Source organism: Homo sapiens, chromosome 10, assembly GCF_000001405.40.
Source record: "Homo sapiens chromosome 10, GRCh38.p14 Primary Assembly".
Lineage (NCBI taxonomy): Eukaryota > Metazoa > Chordata > Mammalia > Primates > Hominidae > Homo > Homo sapiens.
The window spans coordinates 49022664-49045867 of record NC_000010.11 but is presented as its reverse complement, the minus strand read 5'-3'; the positions used below and the strand labels follow the sequence as shown (position 1 = coordinate 49045867).

The 23204-nt window shown below is 43.6% G+C and overlaps 1 protein-coding gene across 4 annotated transcripts in view; it reads left to right on the top strand.

The window, feature by feature from the left end:
- The window catches only part of VSTM4 (V-set and transmembrane domain containing 4), a 101287-nt gene that overhangs the window by 69655 nt on the left and 8428 nt on the right, over window positions 1-23204 (top strand). Inside the window, exon 8 of one of the 4 annotated variants that reach the window (XM_047424711.1) lies at window positions 9579-9723. The exons of 2 other annotated variants lie outside the window; for them this stretch is intronic. In XM_047424711.1, coding sequence (XP_047280667.1) covers window positions 9579-9723 — 145 coding nt within the window. Of the gene's footprint in view, window positions 1-9578; window positions 9739-23204 lie in introns of all 4 variants that reach the window. One more of the 4 variants, XM_017015827.3, reaches the window with a different exon arrangement.

Here is a 23204-nt window from a genome sequence, read left to right as displayed (position 1 = left end):
ACCATATCATGGGGTTACGGATTTGGGGGACAAAGAGCACAGAGGTGGAACTCCCTTCTCATTGCATGGTATCGGGGCACATGACGACAATATATCTTGTTAATGGTGATGCTCATCTCAATCACGTGGTTAAGGTGGTGTCTGCCAGGTTTCTTTACTTTGAAGTTACTATTTTCTCCTTTCCAGACTCTATTTGTTAGAGGCCAGTCCCTGAGTCCAATTCACATTCAAGGTGAGGAGAGTTGAGCTCCACCTCCAGAAGGGAGGCATGTCATGAATTTGTGGATATGTTAAACCCACCACAGTAATTAATAAAAATCTTAGGGGAGATATGTTAAGGCTTGCAAATATCTTGTTTTTCCTTGAACTTTTGCCCACTAATCTTGCATTCATCAGTAGATTTTGCTTGCAGCAGATTTTACTATGGTGCACTAAGGGTGATTTTCTATTTCCCTTAATCTTTCTAGATGTATTATTTGGAATTCTTCTATAAGGAAAATGGCCCCCTTTTTTCATTTGTTTATTGTTCACTAATTCCTTGATATCAGTATGGATCCGTGGATATTTATTTTTTAGTTTTTAACTACATAATTATTTATTTTGTTGTTAATATTATTCAGCAGTTAGTTGTGTGTGTGTGCATGAGAGAGAGAGAGAGAGAGAGAAAGAAAGACTGTCAAAGCTATTCTAAGGTGTGTATGCCAAGACAATCTTGAGGGCGGAGTGCAAGGTGGAGGATTTATATGCCAATTCTCGACATCTACATTAAAGCAAGTGTAAGTAATACAATGGGGTATTAATACAAGGGCAGACAAGTAGACAAAGGAACAGAATAAAGAGCCCCAAACATAACTGCATAGGATTGTCATTTGATTTATGACAACAGTGACATTGCAGTGCAGTGAAAAAGAGATTATCTTTTCAATGTTTGGTGACGGGTTTTTTGGATATCCATATGAAAAAAAGATCTATAGCCCCTTCTCTACACCACACACAAAAGTTAACAGGAGATGGATCATAGACATAAGTATGAATGGTACAAAGTAAAGCTTCCCGAAGGTAGCATTTCTTCCTAATTTCAGAGTAGACAAAGATGTTTTTAAACGAGACACATAAAGCACCAACATGAAGGAATGGATAAAGAAATCTGGGTTGTATTAACATTTAGAACTTCTATTCTGTTTAAAGATACAGTTAAAATAATGAAAAGGCAAGCTGCAGACTGGCAGGACATATCTCTATGCATATATCTGCCAAAGGTTTCCCTCCCTCTCTCCCTCCTTTTTCTTTTCTTTAATTTTTCCTTCCTTCCTTCCTTTCTTCCTTTCTTTCTTTCTTTTTCTTTCTTTCTTTTTCTCCTTCCTTCCTTCTTTTCTTTAATTTTTTCTCTTCTTTCTTTCTTTTTCTTTCTTTCTTTCTCTCCTTCCTTCCTTCTTTTCTTTTTCTTTCTTTCTCTCTTTCTTTTTCTTTCTCTCTCTCTCCTTCCTTCCTTCTTTTCTTGTCATTAATTTTCTTTTCTTTTCTTTCTTCTTTCTTTTCTGAGGCAGAGTCTTGTTCTGTCACCCAAGCTGGAATGCAGTGGTACTACCTCGGCTCACTGCAGCCTCCACCTCCCTGGTTCAAGTTATTCTTGTGCCTCAGCCTCTCAAGTAGCGGGTATTACAGGTGCATGCCACTATGCTAGGTTAGTTTTTGTATTTTTAGTAGAGTTGGGGTTTCACCATGCTGTCCAGGTTGGTTTCGAGCTCATGGCCTCAAGTGTTCCTTCCACCTCGGCGTCCAAAAGTGTTGGGATTACAGGCATGAGCCACTGCACCTGGCTGACCTGACAAAGGTTTCTTATCTAGAACATATGAACACCTGCCAATCAATAAGAAGTAAAAAGACAGCACTACCAAAAAATGGACAGAAGGTTTAAATGTGCACTTGACAAAAGAAGATATACAAATAGCCAGTAAACTCATAAAAAGTCCTTAACCTAATAGGCATCATGGCAGTGCAATTTAAAAGCATAAAGCCAGTTCACCTCCACCAGGATAGTTAAAATGAAGTACTTGTGCAGTTTCTTTTTTGCCTGTATTTCTCTGATCCATTTGGAGTTTAGAAATGGATCCAATTTTATCTGTTTGTCAGACTCTTTTTTATTTTACCTTATGCCTTCTATTTCAACAATCATTATTTGCTAATTTCATCACCATATTCTAAACAATTATTTGAACTTAATTTTTGTTTTGTTATTTATTCCTTTTTTTTGAGTCCAGTGTCTTTCCCTTCATTACCTTTACTTGCCTTTCCATTTGAGCAATTTGTCTGTGAATGGAATTCTAGATTCATAAACTTTTTCCACTAGGTGCAGAGAAATAGGATAAGCACTTCATAATGCATTTCTCTGAACTTCCTGTATTGCTGAACATAAATGCCAACCTCATGACTGTCACCTATAATTCCCCATATTATTTGAGCCACATAGGTAATTTAAACTTTCTAGTAGCCACATTTAAGGTTTGAAAAGTAACAGATGAAACCGATTTTAATGTATAGTTTATTTAACTTAACTATCAAAAATATTATCATTTAATCATGTAATCAATATAGCAATTATTAATTAAATATTTTCTATTATTTTTATTGTGGTAAGTCTTCAGAATCCAGTGTCTATTTGATGCTTACTGCACATCTTAATTCACAGCCACAGTTCCAGTGCTTAGTAAACACATTTGACTAGTGGCTACCACATTGGACAGTGCATCCCAGAATGATCTAGCCCCCATTGCTTCTTTGACATGATTTTTATGACCATCCCTCTCTCTCATTTCCCTTCAGCCACACTGGCCTCCTTGCTAATCCTTAAATATACCAAGCATGTTCCTGTGTCAGGGCCCATGTACCCACTCTCCCCTCTTCCTGGAATGTCCTCCCCAGAATCTGTCCATGGCTTATTACTCACCCCCTGTGGTCTCTGATCAAACATCATGTAATAAAGGAGCTGTCCTGATAGCCTATATAAAACACCACCCACCCTGACATATTTTGTGTTTATATCTATTAATCATCCATCTCTTCTACCAGGCTACAAGATCCATAAAGGCAGGGAGCTTGTCTGCTGTGATTCCTGCTGTATTCTTCATGTTTAGAAATGTGTTTAGCGCAATGGATATTTGTTTATGATTCTGCACACCCTCCCTGTTGAGTAGGTTCTGTAATTCTACATCCATAATTGGGTACATGAGCCTCTGAGAGTCAGTAAAGTGAGAGATGGGTGATGTACCCAAGGTCACACAGCTTGTGGGTTGCAGTCAGGGCTTAATCCAAAATCTAAGGTTTTCACCAGCACATTGGAAGCTTTGCCTCAGTGCGGAGTCTGGGCCTAGCTGCTCTCTATATGTGATCCTGAATGCCTGTGTGGCTCAGCCTTGCTCCTGTCCTTGCTGCTCTGTGCTTCACCTGTTTTTTAAAGAGTCTTCTTTTGCCTGCAGTGAACTGTGGGTTCTAGCAGGCTTTTCATATAGTGGGTTCCATTTGGTTCATGTTATCAAAAAATCCTCATCAATTCTACTCTGTTGACTATACCATATGGTTCTTAAAGGCAGCAGCAGGCCTTTTGGCTTATTTTAATAGGCCATTGGCAGTCAGTGGGCTTTTGGAAACTGTGGAGCATAAAGGCTAAAACAATCAATTTCCCTTGGCCTTGGAGCATCCCATTTCTCACCTGTTACATTCAGTCTCCTGCAGATAGACAGGCTGAGTTCACTGTCCTCTAGACTGTGTGCAGCACTGCACATCTGGGTGTGCGTGTTTATGTGGCTCTTTTAGATCTTTTCTTTCTAATTCTGATATTTAACAACTACCTTAAGAGTGACTACAGAGTGACTACACTTAATTTCCCCACCTTATGTTCTCTCTAAGTTACTCAGGACATATTGTTTCTAATCCAGTCTCTTACCCCTTCTAATAACAGAAACAACTATATATTGAAGTTTTATTGATATGTCCCAGGGATAGATCAAAAAAGTGCTTTTGGCATGTCATCGTATTTAATTCTCACAATAAGATTTTCTCATTGCCCCCTACAAGCTTTGCATGTGAGAACAAACAACACTATTTAAGAAACATGATCCATATCCCTCAGGTGTAATGTCATCAGTCTTCAGGAAACAACTTCCCCTAGTGCATAGCCTGGGTGGACCCACCTCTCATTTATCCATTAAACATGAAAATCTTTTGTGCACCTCTTGGGTGCAAAATGCTATCTTAAGCATTTTTTTGCAACTAAAAAAATATCAGATTCAATAGAGTTTTCAAATATAGCTGTGGTCCTGACTACAAGTTTTTTGTTGTTGACTTGTTTGTGTGTCTGAGCTGATGTGCTTCTCTGGGTGGGGACTCATCATAGGAAATTCTCAATTTTCACAGATAATTGATTGGGGCAGCTATATGCATTTCAGAAGGATTCTTTATTTTATGGAAGTATTCTCAATAATAGTTCTTTAAATAACAGGTTTTCCCTTGATCATTTAAAATACAAAGAAATTGGAAGCTTTTATACCAAATTTTCCAGAAGCAAGGTCAATTTGGAAGCTAGTTTACACCTATAACAATTCACAATAAAGACAAGAGCTGACCTCAGTAGGGCCTCTATCAGACCATTAGTTTAGAGACAAAAATATCAGGCCTAGCATCTGCAGTTTTTGGTGAATATCAAGATTTATTTTCCCGGGAGGCCAGCATTGACCTCAGTCTCAGTTTGGTCGATATTTATCTCTTAGATCAATAGGTCTTGATGGTAGCTCAAACAAAAGTCAATAGCCACCTGTTGACTCACACAAAGTTAGTGGATAATTTAGAAAATAATTTGGAGACATCTTATTTTGGGGGACCTGGTACCAATTTAGGTGTCTAATTTTGTAATGGTTCCATGTTGCCCCAATCTCTGTAACACAGTGCTTCCTGCTGTGATCCTAGGCCACAGAGCTCCCCAGCCCCTCTGTCTAGAAACCAATCTGACAACCTCCACTGACTTATTGACAAGAAGTGGGAAGGCTCACAGGGAAAGCCTCCATTTATTGGGCGCCTATTGTGTGCCAGCTGCCGCATTAGGTGATTTATAGGCTCTGGGTGAAAAGCACGTATCTTTATGTCTGCAATCCCCAAGCCGTTAACAAGTGGGAATCTTTTCTTAGGTTTCCAAGACAACATTGCATTTTGCAAGAAGTGTGTACACTAGACATTAACAGTAGTCAGAAGTTTTTAAAAAATAGTAGGACAAAAGAAGAAAAGGGTGAGGCCAGGCATGGTGGCTCATGCCTGTAATCCCAGCAATTTGGGAGGCCGAGGCAGGCTGATCACCTGAAGTCAGGAGTTTGAGACTCGCCCGGCCAATATCGTGAAACCTCGTCTCCTCAAAAATTACAAAAAAAATTAGCCGGGCATGGTGGCACATGCCTGTAATCCCAGCTACTTAGGAGGCTGAGGCAGGAGAATCGCTTGAACCCGGGAAATGGAGGTTGCAATGAGCCGAGATCACACCACTGCACTACAGCCTAGGTGACAGAGTGAGACTGTGTCTCAAAAAAAAAGAAGAAAGTGAGAAAAGCATTTTAGACATTTTAAAATCAAGGTATCAAAACTGCTTTTCCTTTTTTTAAAACAAAACAACCAAACACAACAACCTGCTTTCAAAGTTCTGCTAATCAGATAATGAGGCCACATGGATCACACAGGCGCTTTCTGTCTGACACTGTGACCAGTTTGTCTAATAAACATTTACAATTCCCATATATCAGTGCTCCCTCATCCCCTTGGGGTGAGGCATTGGCCCAAGCATCCCTTGAAGCCTCCTGGGGCCGTAGGAGCTAAATGCCCTGCAGCAAAGCTTCGGAAGCCTTGGAGCTGATTCACACACTTCCAGGAAAAGCTGTCATTACTTCCTTGTTTCAGAAGACACTGAGAAAGCCAGAAGTACATTTGATTTATTTTTATTGCTTTCTGTCAGTTATTGATTCAGAGGCCAAGTAGCGGAACTTTTCTATGATGCGGAAGGAAAACCTCAGAGTTAAAGGAAAAACAGCCGCAGGACACAGGACTGTTACCTGAATGGGGAAGGAGGGCAGTCAGCATCTCAACATTAACTGGAAGGTGGCAAGTGTCAACCTTGGAGTTGAATGAACTTGGATAGGCTCTTCCATGCCTCGTCATCAACCATGCCCTCCTCCACAATGGGTCACCCACACCTCATCTGCAAGTCCTCCTTCTCCATAATGAAGCCCTAGGGTAGCTGAGGGGGTCAGGCCACCCCTGTTCTCTAGGGAGAAAATGATCTCTGTGAGCCAGCCCCAGACGAAAGACATAGAAAACCAGGAGCACCACAGGCTTAATCACTGCACGTTTCCCAGGGAAGCGCTTGCATCCTGTCTTCTCACTCCAATCCATCCTCTGCGTGGCTACCGGGGGATTTTTCTAAAACACAGCTTCATCTGTGTCATTTCCCTGCGTAAATGGCTCCCTCTCGCCTCCAGGATGAGGCGGCTTCCTGTGAGTAGCGGCTGGCTCTTGTCATAATCTGCCTGCGCTCCCTCAGGCCCACCCCACCCAGGACCCTCATCCTGCTGAGACCCCAATTGGTCTAGGTCCTCTGTCCTCACCTACGCCTGCCTCATCCTCCCGCAGAGCTGCTGCTCAGCTCTAAGATGTGGCTCACTCACCACCTTCTTTTTGAGGCCTCCTCCCCTCTGCCCCCCACTTCTCTGGAATCTAGGTTGGCCTAGGCATCTGAGTAAGTTGTGCCTGTTCACGTCAGTGACCTGCTTGTAGACAGCTCTTGGGGCACTTTTCGGTTCCTCTGTCCTGGATGCCCCCTCATGGTCCGCCCACCTTTGTACTTGCAGGTGGTCCTGAGAGGCCTGGGCCCTCTGGTTGACTGCTTTTACCCCTGGCTGTTGCTCCTCCACAGGTGGTCAGGCTGCCTCCCCCTCCTCCACTGTCCTAGAATGTTGGCTTCTCTTGGGCTGTCTTCTCCTTGACATTCACAGGCACAGCAGCCATCTGTGCAGCCCATTGGTCCCCTAACGGGGGTCCTCAAGCCAATTTCAGAACAACCCTTCTGACTGTTGACCAGACACTCCCCTGGAGGGCCCACAGGCACCTCAAATCCGCCATGACATAAGCACACACGGAGCTCATGGCCTGCCCCACACCTCAGTGTGCATGGGATATCCCGCCTTAGCCCATGGCATTCCCATCCAGAAGCTAAATCGTGGTAAAATACACATAACAGCAAACGTACTATCTTCATCATTTTTAAGTGTACAATTCAGTCATGTGAAACACTCCCACTGTGGTGTGGTCAATCTCCAATGCTCTTTTCATCTTGCAAAACTGAAACTCTGTACTCAAGAAACACCCCCCACTCCCACCCAGCCAGCCCCTAGCTTCCACCATTCTACTTTCTGTCTCAATGAATTTGACTGCTTTAGCAACCTCATAGAAGTGGAATCATGCAGTATTTGTCCTTTTGTGACTGGCTTATTTTGCTTAGCATAATGTCCTTATTCATCCACGTTGCTGTGTGTGTGAGAATTTTCATTCTTCTTAAGGCCTAATAATATTCTATTGTAAGTATATACCACATTTTTTGTATCCATTTATCCCTTGCTGGACAACGGAGTTGCTTCCATCTTTTGGCTGTTGTGACTAATGCTGACGTGACCATGGTGTACAAATATCTGTTTGAGTTCTTGCTTTTAATTATTTTGGTTATATACCCAGAAGGGGGATTGCTGGATCAGATGGTAATGGCATTTTTAGTTTTTTGAGAAACTGCTACACTGTTTTCCAAATCAGCTGCACCATTTTACATTCCTACAAAGAGCACACAGGGTTTCAATTTCTTCATATCCTCACCAACACTTGTTGGTTTCCTTTTTTTTTTCTTTGATAGTAGCTATCCTAATGGGTGTGAGGTGGTATCTCATTGTGGTTTTGATTTGCATTTCCCTAATGAGTGATGTTGAGCATCTTTTTATGTTCTTGTCAGCCATTTGTCTATCTTTGGAGAAATGGCTATTCAAGTCCATTGACCATTTTTAAAAAAAGAGATTGTTTGATTTTTTGTTGTTGCTGAATTGTAGGAGTTCTTTATATATTGTGAATTTTAATTCCACATCAGTTACATAATTTGCCAAAATTTTCACCTGTCCTGTAGTGACTTTTTCATTCTGTTAATTGTGTCCCTTGATTCCCAGAAGCTTTAAATTTACATGGGAACTGGTTTTAAAGTCAGGGAGAACTGGTCTTACCCCTAATGATATCCTCAGCAGGGAACCTGGAGTCACTAGAGCGCCCCTTTGGCCAATGTATATGGAGTGAATGATGAATAATGTTTGCGTGGGAGGATCTGTGGTTGGAACTTAGTCTGAGTCCTCCCTGCTCCAATTGTGGGCCAGAAGGCCAGGCACTGCCTGGGAGCTTGTTGGAAAAGTAGAATCTCCGGCCCTGACTCAGACCTACTGAAGTGGAACCTGCAATTAACGAGGTCCCAGATGAATATGATAAACAGTAAAGTTTGAGAAGTGTGGCTCTGACTAACTTTTCAGACTAAGTAGGCACCTCTGGTGGGGTCGACGCTATCAGGATCCAGAGCCGCTGCCACCCACCTCCAGAGAGGACTCTGCTTTCACTTTAGTAAGACAGGTCAGCCCCCTGGGGAGAAAGGGAGTTGTTTTATCTGTCAACAAGGAGAAAACTAAATATGAGAATTCTAAAAGTCCTTGTGACTCTCCCTAATTCCTGCAAACCTTTCCAGAACAGCTCATCCGTATGTCAACCAGGTATATGTAGCCTTGCCCCATGATCTCCTAGTGTAGCACTTGGCCAGGTGACCAAGACTTACTTGCCTGTGATTCCCTCAAGCTTACAGTCCACAGTAAGCCTCCCTCTTCTCACAGAAACCCAAAGATTAGAATGCTCAAAATGGACAGAAAGGAAGTAGTTCATTCATCCTTGTTCAGAGGGACCCTGCCGTAGGAACCTGCCTCCTCCATAGCGCTGTTGAAAACCATAGTGTGGCCAGCCCAGGGCTGAGATGCCCTGCCTTGTTCCACATCTGCTGGGTGTTGGGAAGAAGTTTCTTCCCCCGGCCCTAGTTTTCACCATTGAGAATGTACTGCCAGGGCCAAAAAAGAATCTGTCTCTTATCAGTAGCAGAAAAGGACTTTGAAGCACATTAGAAAGCAGTGATAGAATTCTGAGAGGATTTTAATAATAACCCAAATCCCAGCAAAATTATTTCCAGAGGACATGCATTTCAGGTTTCTTGAAGGATGTTTATAATAAGCCAGAGAATTTCTCTTGTTGTCGTTAATGTGCTAGAACTGGTTTCAGTTAAATTTTACATGAAAAGGATATATTAACCTGCATAAAATATGTTCATAATCTCGATTTAAAATTAAAAAGAAGAAAAAAAGCCACAACCACATGTACAATATATTGCCCCAAGTAAAAGCCTTGGGAAAAAAATACAAACTTTGCTTGTACCACGCTAGTACCATTTTTGCAGAGATAAAATTTCTATGCTCCCCTAGGTACACATGCACAGCCCATTATTGTTGCGGGGAGTTATGTATGTCAGCTGGAGGGAAGAACGGATGCTGAGGCTTCAGAAGGGATGGGCGTGCGGAAAACAGAAGCCATTTGCTTTCATGGCTTCCTCCAGTCTAGAGAGAGCAGGTATCTCGGCGTTCGGTAAGCTGGATGTGATCAAGATCATATCTCTCCCACACTGGAAGTGAGAATATCCTGTATCAGGAAGTCTGTTAACCTTGACACAGGGCTGTCTTTTCCCTGCAGGCCACACAGTTAGTGCCAAGGCCCCTCTACTGCCTGCCCCTGCCAACACTTGCCTAGCAAGAACCAGGTCACGTGCTTCTCAGCTGTGTCAGAGACCAATAGAAATTCACTGGGGCTCCAATTTTGTTGAAGGTGGGCTAAGTGACACAGTTACTTTCAAGGAGTCTTTATTTATTTATTATTTTTTTTGATATAGAGTCTTGCTCTATTGCCCAGGCTGGAGTGCAATGGCAACCGTAGCTCACTATAGCCTCAAACTCCTGGGCTCAACTGATCCTCCTGCCTCAGCCTCCCAAGTAGCTGGTACCACAGGCATGTGCCACCACATCTAACTTTTTTTTTTTTTTTTTTTTTTGTGGAGCTGGGATCTCGCTATGTGCCCAGGCTGGTCTCAAACTCCTGGCCTCAAGCAATCCTCTCACTTTGGCCTCCCAAAGTGCTAGGATTACAGGTGTGAGCCACTGCACCTGGCCTCAAGAAATGTTTTAAAACTGGGGAGCTCCTTAAGCTCTCCTTAGGCCTCCCTTTTGGGAGACAAAGGGAATCCTACTGCAGATTGCTACCAACAGAGTTGTCCCCACTTTGTTCTAGAAGGGTAATGTGGCTTTGTGCTTTGAGAAGGAACTTGACTTTGGAATTGGCCCCCTCAGGACTATGTGCTTCTCCTGTTTAATGCATCACTGATTCATTCACATTGCTTTCCCAGTCTTCTATTTATTCATTCCCCAATAATTGTTGAGCGCTGATAGGCAGGGGGCAAGGTGCCAGAGAGGTGGGAGCATGAGCCTGGGAGTCACCTGACCAAGGTGAGCAGGTGCAGGGAGATGTGCTGGGCTGGAGGATGGCCTAGGCAGGAGGCAGGCCTGCACATCCAGCAGGCCAGCCCATGGGTGGCCTTTCCTGGTTGTGCAGTCCACCCTGGTCCCAGGTGTCATGGTGCGGCTCCACTCTGGGGCACGCTGTCCCCACGTGCCTGCAGAGACTGTCCCTCCCTGCAGAGCAGTAGCTTGTTTTCCATCTCAGCGTGGCTGATTTGCTGCCGTTATTGGGCACTTCATTTCTGAGATCATTGCACTGCTGGGAAATATTTTTAAAAACTTTTTCTCTGCATTTTATTTTTGAAATCTCATGAAACAATATCATTTCTGCTCACATTTTTAAAGCCTATTTCATTTAAAACTTCAGTTTTGAGCACAGAGTACCTCAGAGTTATTAAAAGACTTTTTCAGTCCTACATGGAGAATACTAGAAATAAAGTGCCATTTTGGAAAGAAAGAAAAACATCACCGTCTCAAAAAAAAATAATAAAGAAAAGAAAAGAAAAACATCATCAACATATCTGTAACATCAAGCTAGGCACCCAAAATATCAAGAAGAAAATTTCTATGTAAAATTCTGAGTTTGCAATAAACTTATGGTGCATTTAAGGAGATTTTTTTTCCTAGCCAGAATCAATTCTAATTTATTATTATAACTTCTTAAAATTAAATTTATGAATTTCCAACGAGCACATGTGATCACCAAAAGACAATAAGACATAGCCTCATAAATTTATCGTGAGAGTGTTCATAGAAAGATGAAGAATAAAAATTGTTAGTTCAGTCATATGTGCCCATTGCCGACATTGCATGCAACATGAATTTAACAAATAATCAGGCATACCTACTGCTATTTTAGATTTGGTTTTAATGCTTGGTTTGTGCCCTGTACATCATGTCTATGACCTAACACTACTGTGATGATGATGATAGTATTGATGATGGTACTGATGATGGTGATGATAGTGGTGATAATGATGATGGTGATAGTGATGGTGATGATGGTGATGATGGTGGTGATAATGGTAGTGATGATGATGACGGTGATGGTAATGGTGATGATGCTGATGATGATGGTGGTAGTGATGGTAATAATGGTGATGATAATGGTAATGATGGTGATGACAGTGATGGTAATAATAATGGTAATATTGATGATGATAGTGATGATGATGGTGTTGGTAATAATGGTGATGATGATGGTAATGGTGATGATGGTGATGATGATGGTGATTATGGTGGTGATAATGGTAATGGTGATAATGATGGTAGTGATGATGAAGAGGATGGTGATGATGATGGTGGTGATGGCGGTGGTAATAATGATGATAATGATAATGCTCACCCTTCCATGGCACTTCCCACATGCAGACACTGTTCCAGTGCTTACCAGGAGAAGCACTCCTTTAACTTTGAGACAACTCTTATTGTCTCCATTTCACAGATGAGTTAGAGGAGGCACAGGAAGGTAAATACTAATACAAAGTCTCCCACTAGGACATGGCAGAGCTGCTCCAACCAGGCACTTGGCCACAGATCCCTGTTCTTCCCCACTGCACTCTGAGCTCTGATGCCTTTTGTCAAAAGTACTTGGTAAAGTCTGAGTCTTTGGGTTTTCAGGGTGTTTAATGTCTTGACCTCATTGGACAGTGATAGAGAAGTAGGCCGGCAATCAGAATCTCCATTTGTTAAAATAGAAAGTGAAATTATTCCTCTAAGTGGTCTCTGTCAGGAGTTTGGCATATATTCTTCTAAATTGTTTTTGTATATACAAGTGTAGATCCATATTTATTATATATTCCCAATATGTATATACAGTCCACCCACATTTAGTGTGGGTCATGGCTACAGATTCTGACAAATCCATTTCTGTGTGCCAAGTTCCCTAAAAATGGGAATGATTCTTTACACAGTGTTCACAGGTTGAATTGTTTTCTCATTAACAATATCTCAGGCACATCTTTCTACATCAGTACGTATAGATCTACCTCATTCTTTAATGACTGCAAAGTGTTACAGTATCATCATTTCTTTAACCAGTATGCAACTCTTGGCCATTTAGGTTGTTCTAATTTTTCACTCTTAGAATGGATGCTTTGGTAAACATCCTTTCACATATAACTTTATGTGAGTATTTCTGTAGGAGAGATTTTTAGAAGTGGGATCGTTATGTGAAAGTATAGCCTCATTTTTAATTTTGATAGAGTCTGCCCAATTAACTTCCTAAAGTATTTTTCTATTTTATTCTCCCACCAAAAAAAAAAAAAAGAATCAGAGTGACCACTTTCTCATACCCTCACCAATGGAAGATATCCTCTCTCTCTCTCTCTCTCTGTCTTTCTCTCTCTCTCTATTGATCTATCTTCTACCTATATTTTAAACTAGTAAGTTAAAAGCCATGTGGAGATTTTAGATGACTCCAAGCAGCAGAACCCAGGTGTTCTTGCTAGAGTGTTGTCGTGGAACCTCTAGAGAAGCTAAAAGAAAGAAAGAGTTTCATTGGAAAGAGGAGAGTGTCCCTGTCTACATTCCTGAGGCCAGGCAGATGGGGGTGGGGGTGCTAAAAGACAGTATCAGACTGGTTTTCTTTCATTTTGTCTTTTTCATTCATTCATTCAAAAATGGCTGCCTGAGTCAGATGTCTTTCTAGGAGCTGAAGTTGCAGCCAGCAGCATCCTCGAGCCTCTCTCATCCACTAAAGGGGGCACATACATTGGCACCTTGAAATTAGCTGTGGTAAGGGTAGTCACACATGAAAATCAGAAATTACTGCTCACATCAGAGCTTTCTTTCCTGTCAAGCCTGTTGTCAACATTTATCCACACGGCCCTGGATGCAGCAGTAAATAAGCTACGGAGTCACTGCCTTTGGGGAGCCCAGTGATGTGGTCAGAGGCCGGCTCTACACCAGCCATGCTGCTCACTAGCTACTGTCTGCATGCTCGCCACTTCTCCACCTTCATCTCTGCACATGTCGAATGAGGACTATAATAAGGGTAACTTCCACATAGACTAGTTGTTGTACTAAGTAAATATTAGGTGCTGTTGTCACATTCTTTAGTGGAGGAAGACAGAAGGCTACCAAATTGATGATACCTTATAATACCAAGGAGTGATATGTGCTCTGAGAGCAGTAGAACAGGGCAAGGGGAGCTGGGGGTGGGGGGCTGTATTCAATGGGGAGGACGTCACAGTTGAGCAGAGACCTGAGAGTGAGGGAATGAGACACATGGCTCTGTGGGGAGAACATCTCAGGCTGGGCTGAGAGCACAGCCTGGGCAAAGGTCCTGAAGTAGACCCTGAATGAACAGTGCCATATGGGGTGTGTCCAGGAAACACATGGAGATCCATGTGGCTGGAGCCCTGGTCAGCAAGAGGGACGTGTGGAGCAAGCCGAGGTCAGAGGCAGGCACAGGATGAGGTAATGAAGGATCAAGACCCTTATCCATGCTGATATCCTGATAAGAACTCTGGATTCAGAATGTGATGAGAAACCACTGGAGAACTGTGTGCAGGGCAGTGAGTGGCATGGTTTGACTTATTATTTAGAAGGATTGTCTTTCCTACCAAAAAATAAAATAAAATAGCCAGATGTGTTTGGCCCTGGCCTGAGACACAGTGGTGTTCATTAGCGTTTAGCACATATACTTTCCAAAACGTCTCAAAGTGTTTTCTTCTTTCTACCTGTAAATATTTCAAAGCAACGGACTGTTTAAACAATACTTGTTTATCATCTATAATGTAAATAGTAGCAATAGTAATAATCAAACACTTGTATAGCATTTACTGTATGCCTACCAGGTATTTTTTCAAGCACATTACATGTTTTTATGCATTTAATCCTCAAAATAACTCTATTGGATAGTTACTATTATGAGTCCCACTTTGTAGATAAGGAAATGGAGGAATAAAGAGGTGAAGTACCTCGTCCGAGGTCACACAGCTAGTAAATGGCAGTCTTCCTGTCTCTGAGAGCACATGTTCCTAAGTAGGCCCTTGCACAATTAGATGGGTCTAGGAGAGTGTTAAAGATTGCAGTTGATCAGAATATTGAGAGTGTTCAAGTCTGCAAATTCTCAGCATGAACATCTATGTTGAAGTAGATAACCAAAGGCTCCCTTTTTTCTAAGCAAAAGCATCCTCTTGAATAGTACTGCCAGTAACAGTCCTTTGAAAGGCAGCTGGGAATTCAAACATCTATGGACCACAGGGGAGAGGAAATGAATGACCATGTTAGACCATGGAGCAGTTGCTGTGAGACTTTGAAAGTTCCAGGTATTAGGACTCTCCCCAAGAACACTGTCTATAATCACATTTTAGCTTCCAAAACATATGTTGGTGACATTGACAGGCATCTGTCTGTCTGATAACTTGTAGAAACTTGAACGAATAATATTTGGCCTTGGGTCTTTCTATGCCAGATTTAGCAGGCTCCCGAAGGGGTCACCTCTGCCTGTCCTTGAAGCAGTTAGGTGGTGACTTTCTGTCATGTCAAATCCATTCTGAGGACGCACTTTGCTGAACATCCTGTGTACTTTTTGGACTCAAGGACCTGAGGCGAATTTGCTCTGCTCATGATTTCTGAGTGAGTTCGTCCAACCCAAAGTGCACGTCTTCATATCCATCCAAGACTTCTCTCCTGAGCTCCAGACTTTTCCAGTCCTCCCACTGTCCTAGAGCATGCTGGGTGACTGGCTCTCAGTCCCTGGGTGACCATGCAGAGGTGGGGTGGAGGGGGAATCTGGCCAGATATGATCTCAAGGCTCATTTATACCTGAAGCTGCAGAGTAGGTGGGGCGTTTGGTGCCTCCGAGAGTGCCTAGGCCCCATGTGTCTCTGGACCCTGGGTCAAGGCACACCTAAGTCAGCAGTCACAGCAGAATGCTGGATTTGGGAGTGCAACTGGATTCCAGCCCTCACATCTGAGTGAAGACCTACTATGAGTTATGCTGCTAGAGCCAGAGGTCCCAGTGGACCAGTGGCCTCCGCTCCAAGGAGATGGTGAGAGTAGACCTGGTGGTGGCTCTAACGGTTACCTCTGAAAATGCCCCTGGACGTCTTCAGTAGCCATTGGATACTCAGCTGCATATTTTCACCTATCCAGCAGACAGCTCTGCTCAGGGGTCTGCTGCCACCCCACACACAGCCTGGCCCAAGCAGAGCCTTGCAGCCTTGTGGCTGCATCCCATGCCACCCAGAGGTACACTGGGAACCTGGGGGTGAGGCTGTAGAGAGGGGTGCGGGGCCCCCTGGAGGTGTTCCAGTGAGATTCTTTCTTTCCCCTCCATCACCCTCTCCCACCAGGGACAGCTCCATGTTTCTATCTTTGGGAAGTCTTGGGTTCTGTGGCCTCAAGTCTTCTGTTTCTCCACACCAAGCCAGGGCTCCTGCCTCTGATGAGGATGGGGCCAGTTCCCTTCTCCCCCAACTTCCCCTTTAGTTGGAGCTCATACTGCCTACTGAGTGGTGTGGGATTGTTCCAAAACCTCAAACAATTCATGCCAAGGGCTTTTCACTATTTTCCCTGTTGGCATCCCAGGCCTACTTCTTGGGAAGGGACTGCTGTCTGCCTGTCTGCTCACCTGGATACAAGGCATTCACATCAGAGCATAGACTCTGCCTCTGAGCATGCATTTGCGATGCCTGGGACTGCCCACGAGCATCTGGGAAGGACTGACTGGCTCTGAATCCAGACACCACCTGTAATCCAGACTCCATAATCACTGGCCCTGCCTCACAGTGCTGGCATGAGGATGGAGCGAGATGGTGAAAATTAGTGTTTTCTGAGTTCTGTTCTCAGAAGGACCAATTCTCAGCCACCACACTCTGCTACCTCCCAAAGCCACTTCTGGATTATGTCCTTTGTTTTGGAAAGACATTTCTTTTGTTTCTTTATTTTTATTTAACATATACACCATAGAACTCTATATTCTCTTTTCATAATAGATTTAAATAAATTTGCCAATCAGCACCCATGGTACTTGAGATTAAGTCAAGTTCATATCCAAGGCATGTCGATGATAGTAGGACTGATAAGCTTCACAGCATACTTTACTCTCCTGAGTTGGGTACTATGGAGACCCATTGAGGAGACCCTCTGTCAAATAGAGCTTTCTGAATGCACAGCCTCAAGCTCCTTGGTGGCTATAGTTGTATGTGCAGTGGCTGTTGTTAGGGGAGAGTTTGTTTTACAAGTTACTCCATTGAATAAAAAATGAGCACTTATCTTGCAGGTAGAAGAGGAAGTCTGCCCCTGATAATTTGTAATTCTCTCATGGGTAAATAGATTCCTGATAGTGCAGCTCTGTGGAGCTGCAGTCACATTTTTAAACTCTAAGATGACGTTAACATAAACATTCCATGTCCCAGTTATTGATCTGTTGCTGTGATAATGGTATTACCCAATTGAACTTTTGATGTTGAGAGAACTTGCAGAGGCTGCAATTGCATTTTTCTTTTATTACCGTGACTTAATTCAAGTTACACATCCAACTGTGATCTCTGTGAAAAAGTGTTGTTTTGCAGGAGTCTGCATAAGAGAATGCTAAACCTCTCTTAGTAAGAATGTTAAGTTCCAGCCTGAATCATGGAAAGACACCTACAAAATGATATACTCAGAAACTATCCATTAAGAGCTTAAAGTGTGTTATCTTCCAGAAAGGTGCACAACCTCAGAATTCCTTGAGGTTGACTTTTCTCTCAGTAGCCAAATCAAATAGTTCTTCCCCATGGACATACTTTCCATGATTATCACCCTCAAACTGGGGGAAAAGGGGCTTGCATTAGAGGTGGGAGATTCAGCCCAGAGGCTGCTACCTGCTGTTATAGTACCTCATTGTTGGCAGAACAGAAGGCTAGACAGGCCATTGCAAGCTCTGAAAACTGCAGACTCACTTTGTGATGCCCAGAGTCCAGGAAGGTTCATCACTGCATTTTAAACCTGGTCTGTGTGATCATCCTTTCCTAATGCTTCTGAGAGGAAACTGTGCTATGTAAGAATTTAATCTGGCTCAGCAGCTATCCAGGAGCACTTGAGTTCAAGTCTAGGATGGGAAAGTTCCTTAAGCATAAGGGAAAGGTAATTACTGTGCTACTGACACCTAGAACAATGGCTAAAAGAAAAAAAAGCGCTGACAAGGATGTGGAGCAATTGAAACGCTCATGCTTTGCAGGTGGGAGGGCAAAATGGTCCACCCTGGACAAATAGGCAGTTTCTTACAAAGTTAAACATAACTTGCCATGTGGCCTAGCAAACCCACTCCTGGGTATTTACTCTGGAGGCATGAAAACATCACACAAAAACCTATATTTGAACGTTTATAACAACTCTATAACCACTAAAAACTTGGAACAACCCACAAGTCATCCAGCAGGTGAGTGGATGGCTAGCTACAGCATGTGGAATACTCTTTACCAACAGAGAGGAGCAGACAATCGTTGCTTGCAACAACTGGGATAAATCTTCAGGGAATTATGCTCAGTAAAAAAAGCCAATCCCAGAAGGTTACACACTGTATGATTCTTTGTACATCACCTTTTCTAAGAGACAAAACATAGTGGCAGAAGACAGATCTGTGGTTGCCAGGGGTCGGGCTGGAGGGAAGGTGGGACTGCAGAGGGGTGGCATGCAGGGGTGATGGAACTGTCCTGAGACCTGACTGTGGCAGTGGTTACAGACATCTATACCTGTGTTACAATTCTTAGAACTGGGCACCTCAAAACTCAATTTTACCCCATGTCATTTAAAACAAATAAAATAAAATTTTGAGAAACCTCCATTATGTCATCGGAGACACAGCAGGAGGCATGAGTGGAACTGTAATCCTAGGGCTGAGTCTGTGGACACATGTTGGTGAACATGCCTGCAGCGTGGGGGGCCTGGCACACATTTGAGAACATAGCTCAGAAACATGCATGCTTAGAGCATTCTTAGATGTTACTTGTATAAATGAATGAGTTGGTCATTAGTTTGTTGTAAAATGCCTTCCTTCACTGGCCAGGGAGCAGTTCTGTGATGGTGATCATGGTCATTAGAGAGGGCGAGGCAGAATCCCAGTAGCTCGCTGTGCAGGGTCAGAGGAAATCACAGGTGCAGTGAGTGCAGGAGAGTGTGGCCGCCAATGGCATCAGTGTCAGGGCATTCAGAGGGCCTGGTGGGTTTTGAAGGAGTAGGGGTCCACCTTGTGTGTGACAGGCAAGAGTTTCATGCGGAGGGGATCAACTTAAACAGAAACCTGTACTCCCCTGTTAGAGAAGTTTCAGGGAGGAGCCTGGAAAGAGGACTGAGCAGATCACATGGCTCTTTTGCATCCGTAGTGTAAGGCTTGGTACTTTCAGCAGTCACAGGATGTGCAATGTAAAGAAACGCCTTCCCTCAGGGTTTTGCAACCTGTGGCCTTCATTGCTAGAGAACCCAGGTCAGAAACATCCCTGAGTCAGGTAGCAGCGGGTTCCTCTGCTGTGAGGGAATAAATCTTCTGGCCCAGCCCTGCCCCTGTCAACACCCACATCCTGAGCCCCACCATCCTCTCCCACCATGAGCTGGGCCCTCTTTTTCCACACGGAGGGCAGCAGGCAGCAGGCTGCCACCATGGCAGGGTGGCACCCAGAGATGAAACGCCACCACCTCCCAACATCTGGTCACTTCTGCTTAGCCCTGGGAGTGTGACTTCCCAAAGCCTTGGTTTATTTTATGTATTTCACTTTATCTTGAAACAGATTGGTTTTTATTTGTGTTTTAGGACAAGATATCTGGGCATAGTCCAGGGCCACTGCCCATCTATATGGCACCTTTAGGTAGATTACAAAAAGGCACCTATCTTAATAGACATATTATAGAAGAGCTTCCCATCATGGTGGGAACAACTCTTGCCCCACAGAATGTCTTGGGAGAGCTGAGCATGGGGTGAATTTCAACTCTCAGTCACTTAAACCTGGAGACCCTGGGTAGACCCAGGGCCAATCCAGTGGTTCATTGAGGCGGCAGACACTAGGCTCCTCGGTCTGTTTTCTCTACCATCTTGAGCAGGTTGGCCTTGGTTTTCATTCATGTTGCCTCTCTGTCTTAAGATCTAGTTTGTTTTTCCCTGGAAGAAGTGAGGCTGTGCCCAGGGAAGTCCGAGCACGCAGACCTAGTATGATAGCTTCCCTGGGCAAGGAGCCCTTTCCTCTAGGATTTTTCTGTCTTCTACCTTGAAACCTCAGCCCAGTCTCTTCCTCAGGTGGGGCTGCTTCTGCATGTCATTTTGTTTCTCCTTACATCCCCAGCATGAAATGTGGCAACAAAAGAAAAGTGGCTTCAGAGAGAGCTGCAGAATGGCAGATGGAACACAGGGTTTGGGGGCAGAAACAACCTGACCCTTGGCACTCACAGCCTCTGTGTGCTCAGCTGACTGCAGGATCTGTCTCGGCCCCGGGTGCAGTTCAGAGGGCAGGAATGTCCTGCAGCTAGCCCGTGTGCCGGTCACTTGGTAGCCAGGTGCATTGCTCAGATGGAGGCAGCCACACCTGGGTGGCTTTTCTCTGTTAGCTTCCCTCCCCTGCTGGAGCCAGGTGCCCTTCATACCAGTCAGCATGGCAGTCACCATTGCCCCCTTTCCAGAAAGCTGGAGGTTTGTGTGGGCTGCCAGCAACCCAGCTAGATCTGTTGCAGCCCAGGGTCAAGGCCGAGGCCTGGCCATGGCGGGCCAGGCAGCTGGGGATGGGAGGTGTGTGTGGGGGCAGGGTGCCATGTGAGGAAGTCCTAGAGCCTTTCTCCTCCAGCCCTGCTCCTCACTGAACCAGGGGTAAATGTATCAGACCTTTGTCCCCTGCCTTGTCTCGGGGAGGGTGCTCTGCTGCTGACATAAATGCCTTAATCTCGTATATTCTCCCACCCTATCAGGTAGTTCTTCTCATCTCCCCTTCAGGAAGGCTATTTTCTTTTCTTCCATTCTCTTCTGTCCTCACCTTGACTTATGTATTCATTTGCTAGGGCTGCCATAACAAAACACCACAGTCACATAGTCAGGGCAGCTTAAAACAACAGACTTTATTCTCTCACAGTTGTGGAGGCCGGAAGTCTGAGCTCAAGGTGCTGGCAGGGTTGGTTTCTCCCAAGGCCTCTCTCTCTCAACTTGGCTTGCAGATGCCGCCTTCTCCTTGTGTCTTCATGTGGTCTTGACTCTGTGTGTGTGTCCTCATCTTCTTAGAAGAACACCAGTCAAATTGGATCAGAGCCCACCCTAATGGCCTCATTTTAACTTAATTACCTCTTTAAAAAAACCCATCTGCAAATAGAGTCACATTCTGAGGTCTTAGGAGTTAGGGCTTCAACACAGGAAATTTGGGGAACAAGATTCAGTCCATAACAACTAATTTCCTAGAATCTGTTCCTTACCTGTCAAAAGATACCCAGGGCTACTTAGTTCACAAAGTTCTTGTTAACTTATGAAGCATTCAGAACGTGCACATATGCGTGCTATTTTAGCTGACCCTAGAGAGGAGGTGATGCCACTGAAACACTGATTTGTTCAGCACACACATGTTCAGCACCTTTTATGGGGCAGCTGCTGGGCCAAAACATTACATAGACCTCATTTCAATCCTCATAATCATCCAACAAAGTAGGTATTATCTCTGAGCTCCAGTGATGGAACTGGCCCAAGGTCACACAGCTGACCTTTAAACTAAGATCCAAATTCCTCCTGCACCCATGATCTGCTGTCAGCCCCAGGACGATAGCCTCAGCCACTCTCCTCACCTCTTCTCCATGAACACTTTCATTGATCTGAGAGTTAGAAGAATTTCCCTTTATTGCAGCCTTCCTTTGATGCATCAATACGTGCGTGTATCTGACCCTCCATCCCCCCTTGCTCATAGAATCCTCCTCCAGAATTACTTGTGGATTCTCACTGGCTGGTAGTTTTCTCCCTGTCTGGTAGTTTTCTAATATGAAAAGTGAGACTAAGGGTCCATGAAACAAGGGATTTGAGACACACAAAATACCAAGCAGCTGAATACAACAAATGCCAGGCCTTTATTTGAGGAATAGAAAGAGAATCTGACCAGGAGTAACAGCAGGTTAGGTGAAATGGAAAATAAAGTAAAACCAAACAGCCCTGGGAGAGAGGAAATGGCCGAGTTGCTTCTCACATATTTAGAAAGTTCTAGGGCTTTTTCTAAAGGATTCTGCCAGGACTTCCCAGCAGCAGTTGGTTCACTCTTGCTGTCTGTTTTCCAGTGATTACAACATCTGGATATAAATGTAAAACTCGGTCCGGGTCTGAGGCCTGGAACTCCTCCTTCAAGCAGTTTCCTTGAGGCTTTCAATGGAATTTACAGTCGTTAAGAGTGTTTGTGAATAGACAGTTCAACACTGTTGAAGCTTCTATCCTGAGTTCCACAATTTGTACTAACACTCCGCAACCTTCTGTACTTCCTGCATCCCCCAGAGTAGGGTGGGGGCTTGAAGAGAGTCATTTTGAAGCCAGCGTCTATCAGGAAATTAACAGAAGTGCTTCCTCATTCATTTTTAGAGATGCTGGGAGTGATTCCCTAGCTTAAATCCAGTTTGGGCTTGTCTACTGAAGATAGCAGTAAACTTGTATCATCTGAAGTAAAGGTGAGGCTTTGCAACAGGCTCCTCGTCAGGCTGTGCCCCATTGCAACCACCTGCTTTAACCACTGCTTTCAGCTCCTGGCTCTTGGTTTTACCACCAGTTTTTTAGTTTACCTAGTCTTAGTGATGTGCCAAAAATTTTCTCTAAGCTTCTCCTCAAATGCACCTTAAACCTTCCACTGAAACATTAGTGCAAAGAAACGTAGTTTGGTGAAAACCAGTGAGGAATATGCATTTGCCCCTTTCATTGGCCATTAGGAATTTATTTCCAGTTAAACAAGCTGGGAAATGTAATTAGGCACATGGCTGATTGTGATAGCCAAGTGTGCATGCCAGAAAAACAATAGGTTCTTTAAAGATGCCAAGGACTGATATTATGCATCTTATCTTGGAAACTATACACTTCACAGTTCTGAGCCTCCTGTGAGCTGCCTCGTATCTTCAATCAAATTATTATATTCCAGAAATATGCATAAGGGAAATGATTCTACACATTTTATGGTGGGTTGTTGCTTGTAGCAGTAATTGAAGTACCTTTTCCACTTATGAAAGTACTACTTTTATTTGTTTTTATTGCTTTTCTAGATGCAATTATTTATTTAGTGTGCTTTGGCTTTATTAAATTATGTTTACTATAGGAACATCATAAAAATGTATGAAAACAACACATCAGCCAAGCCAGCCTGGTGACCTGTATTGAAAGAGCTAGTGTTATTTTTCATATCCAAACGTAATGGAATAACTTAAGAATAAACAGATAATCTACACTAGAAAACAATGCAATTTCAAGGTAATGTAATAACACACCTGGACAATATGATTTCATAAATCTTGGTGCTAAAATTTACATGAGTTGGGTTTTGTGTGCTTATTTGAGGACACATGGCATTTCTAAATGGAATCATTATAATGGGAAATGTAATTAAACTGAAAAGCGAGAATGTA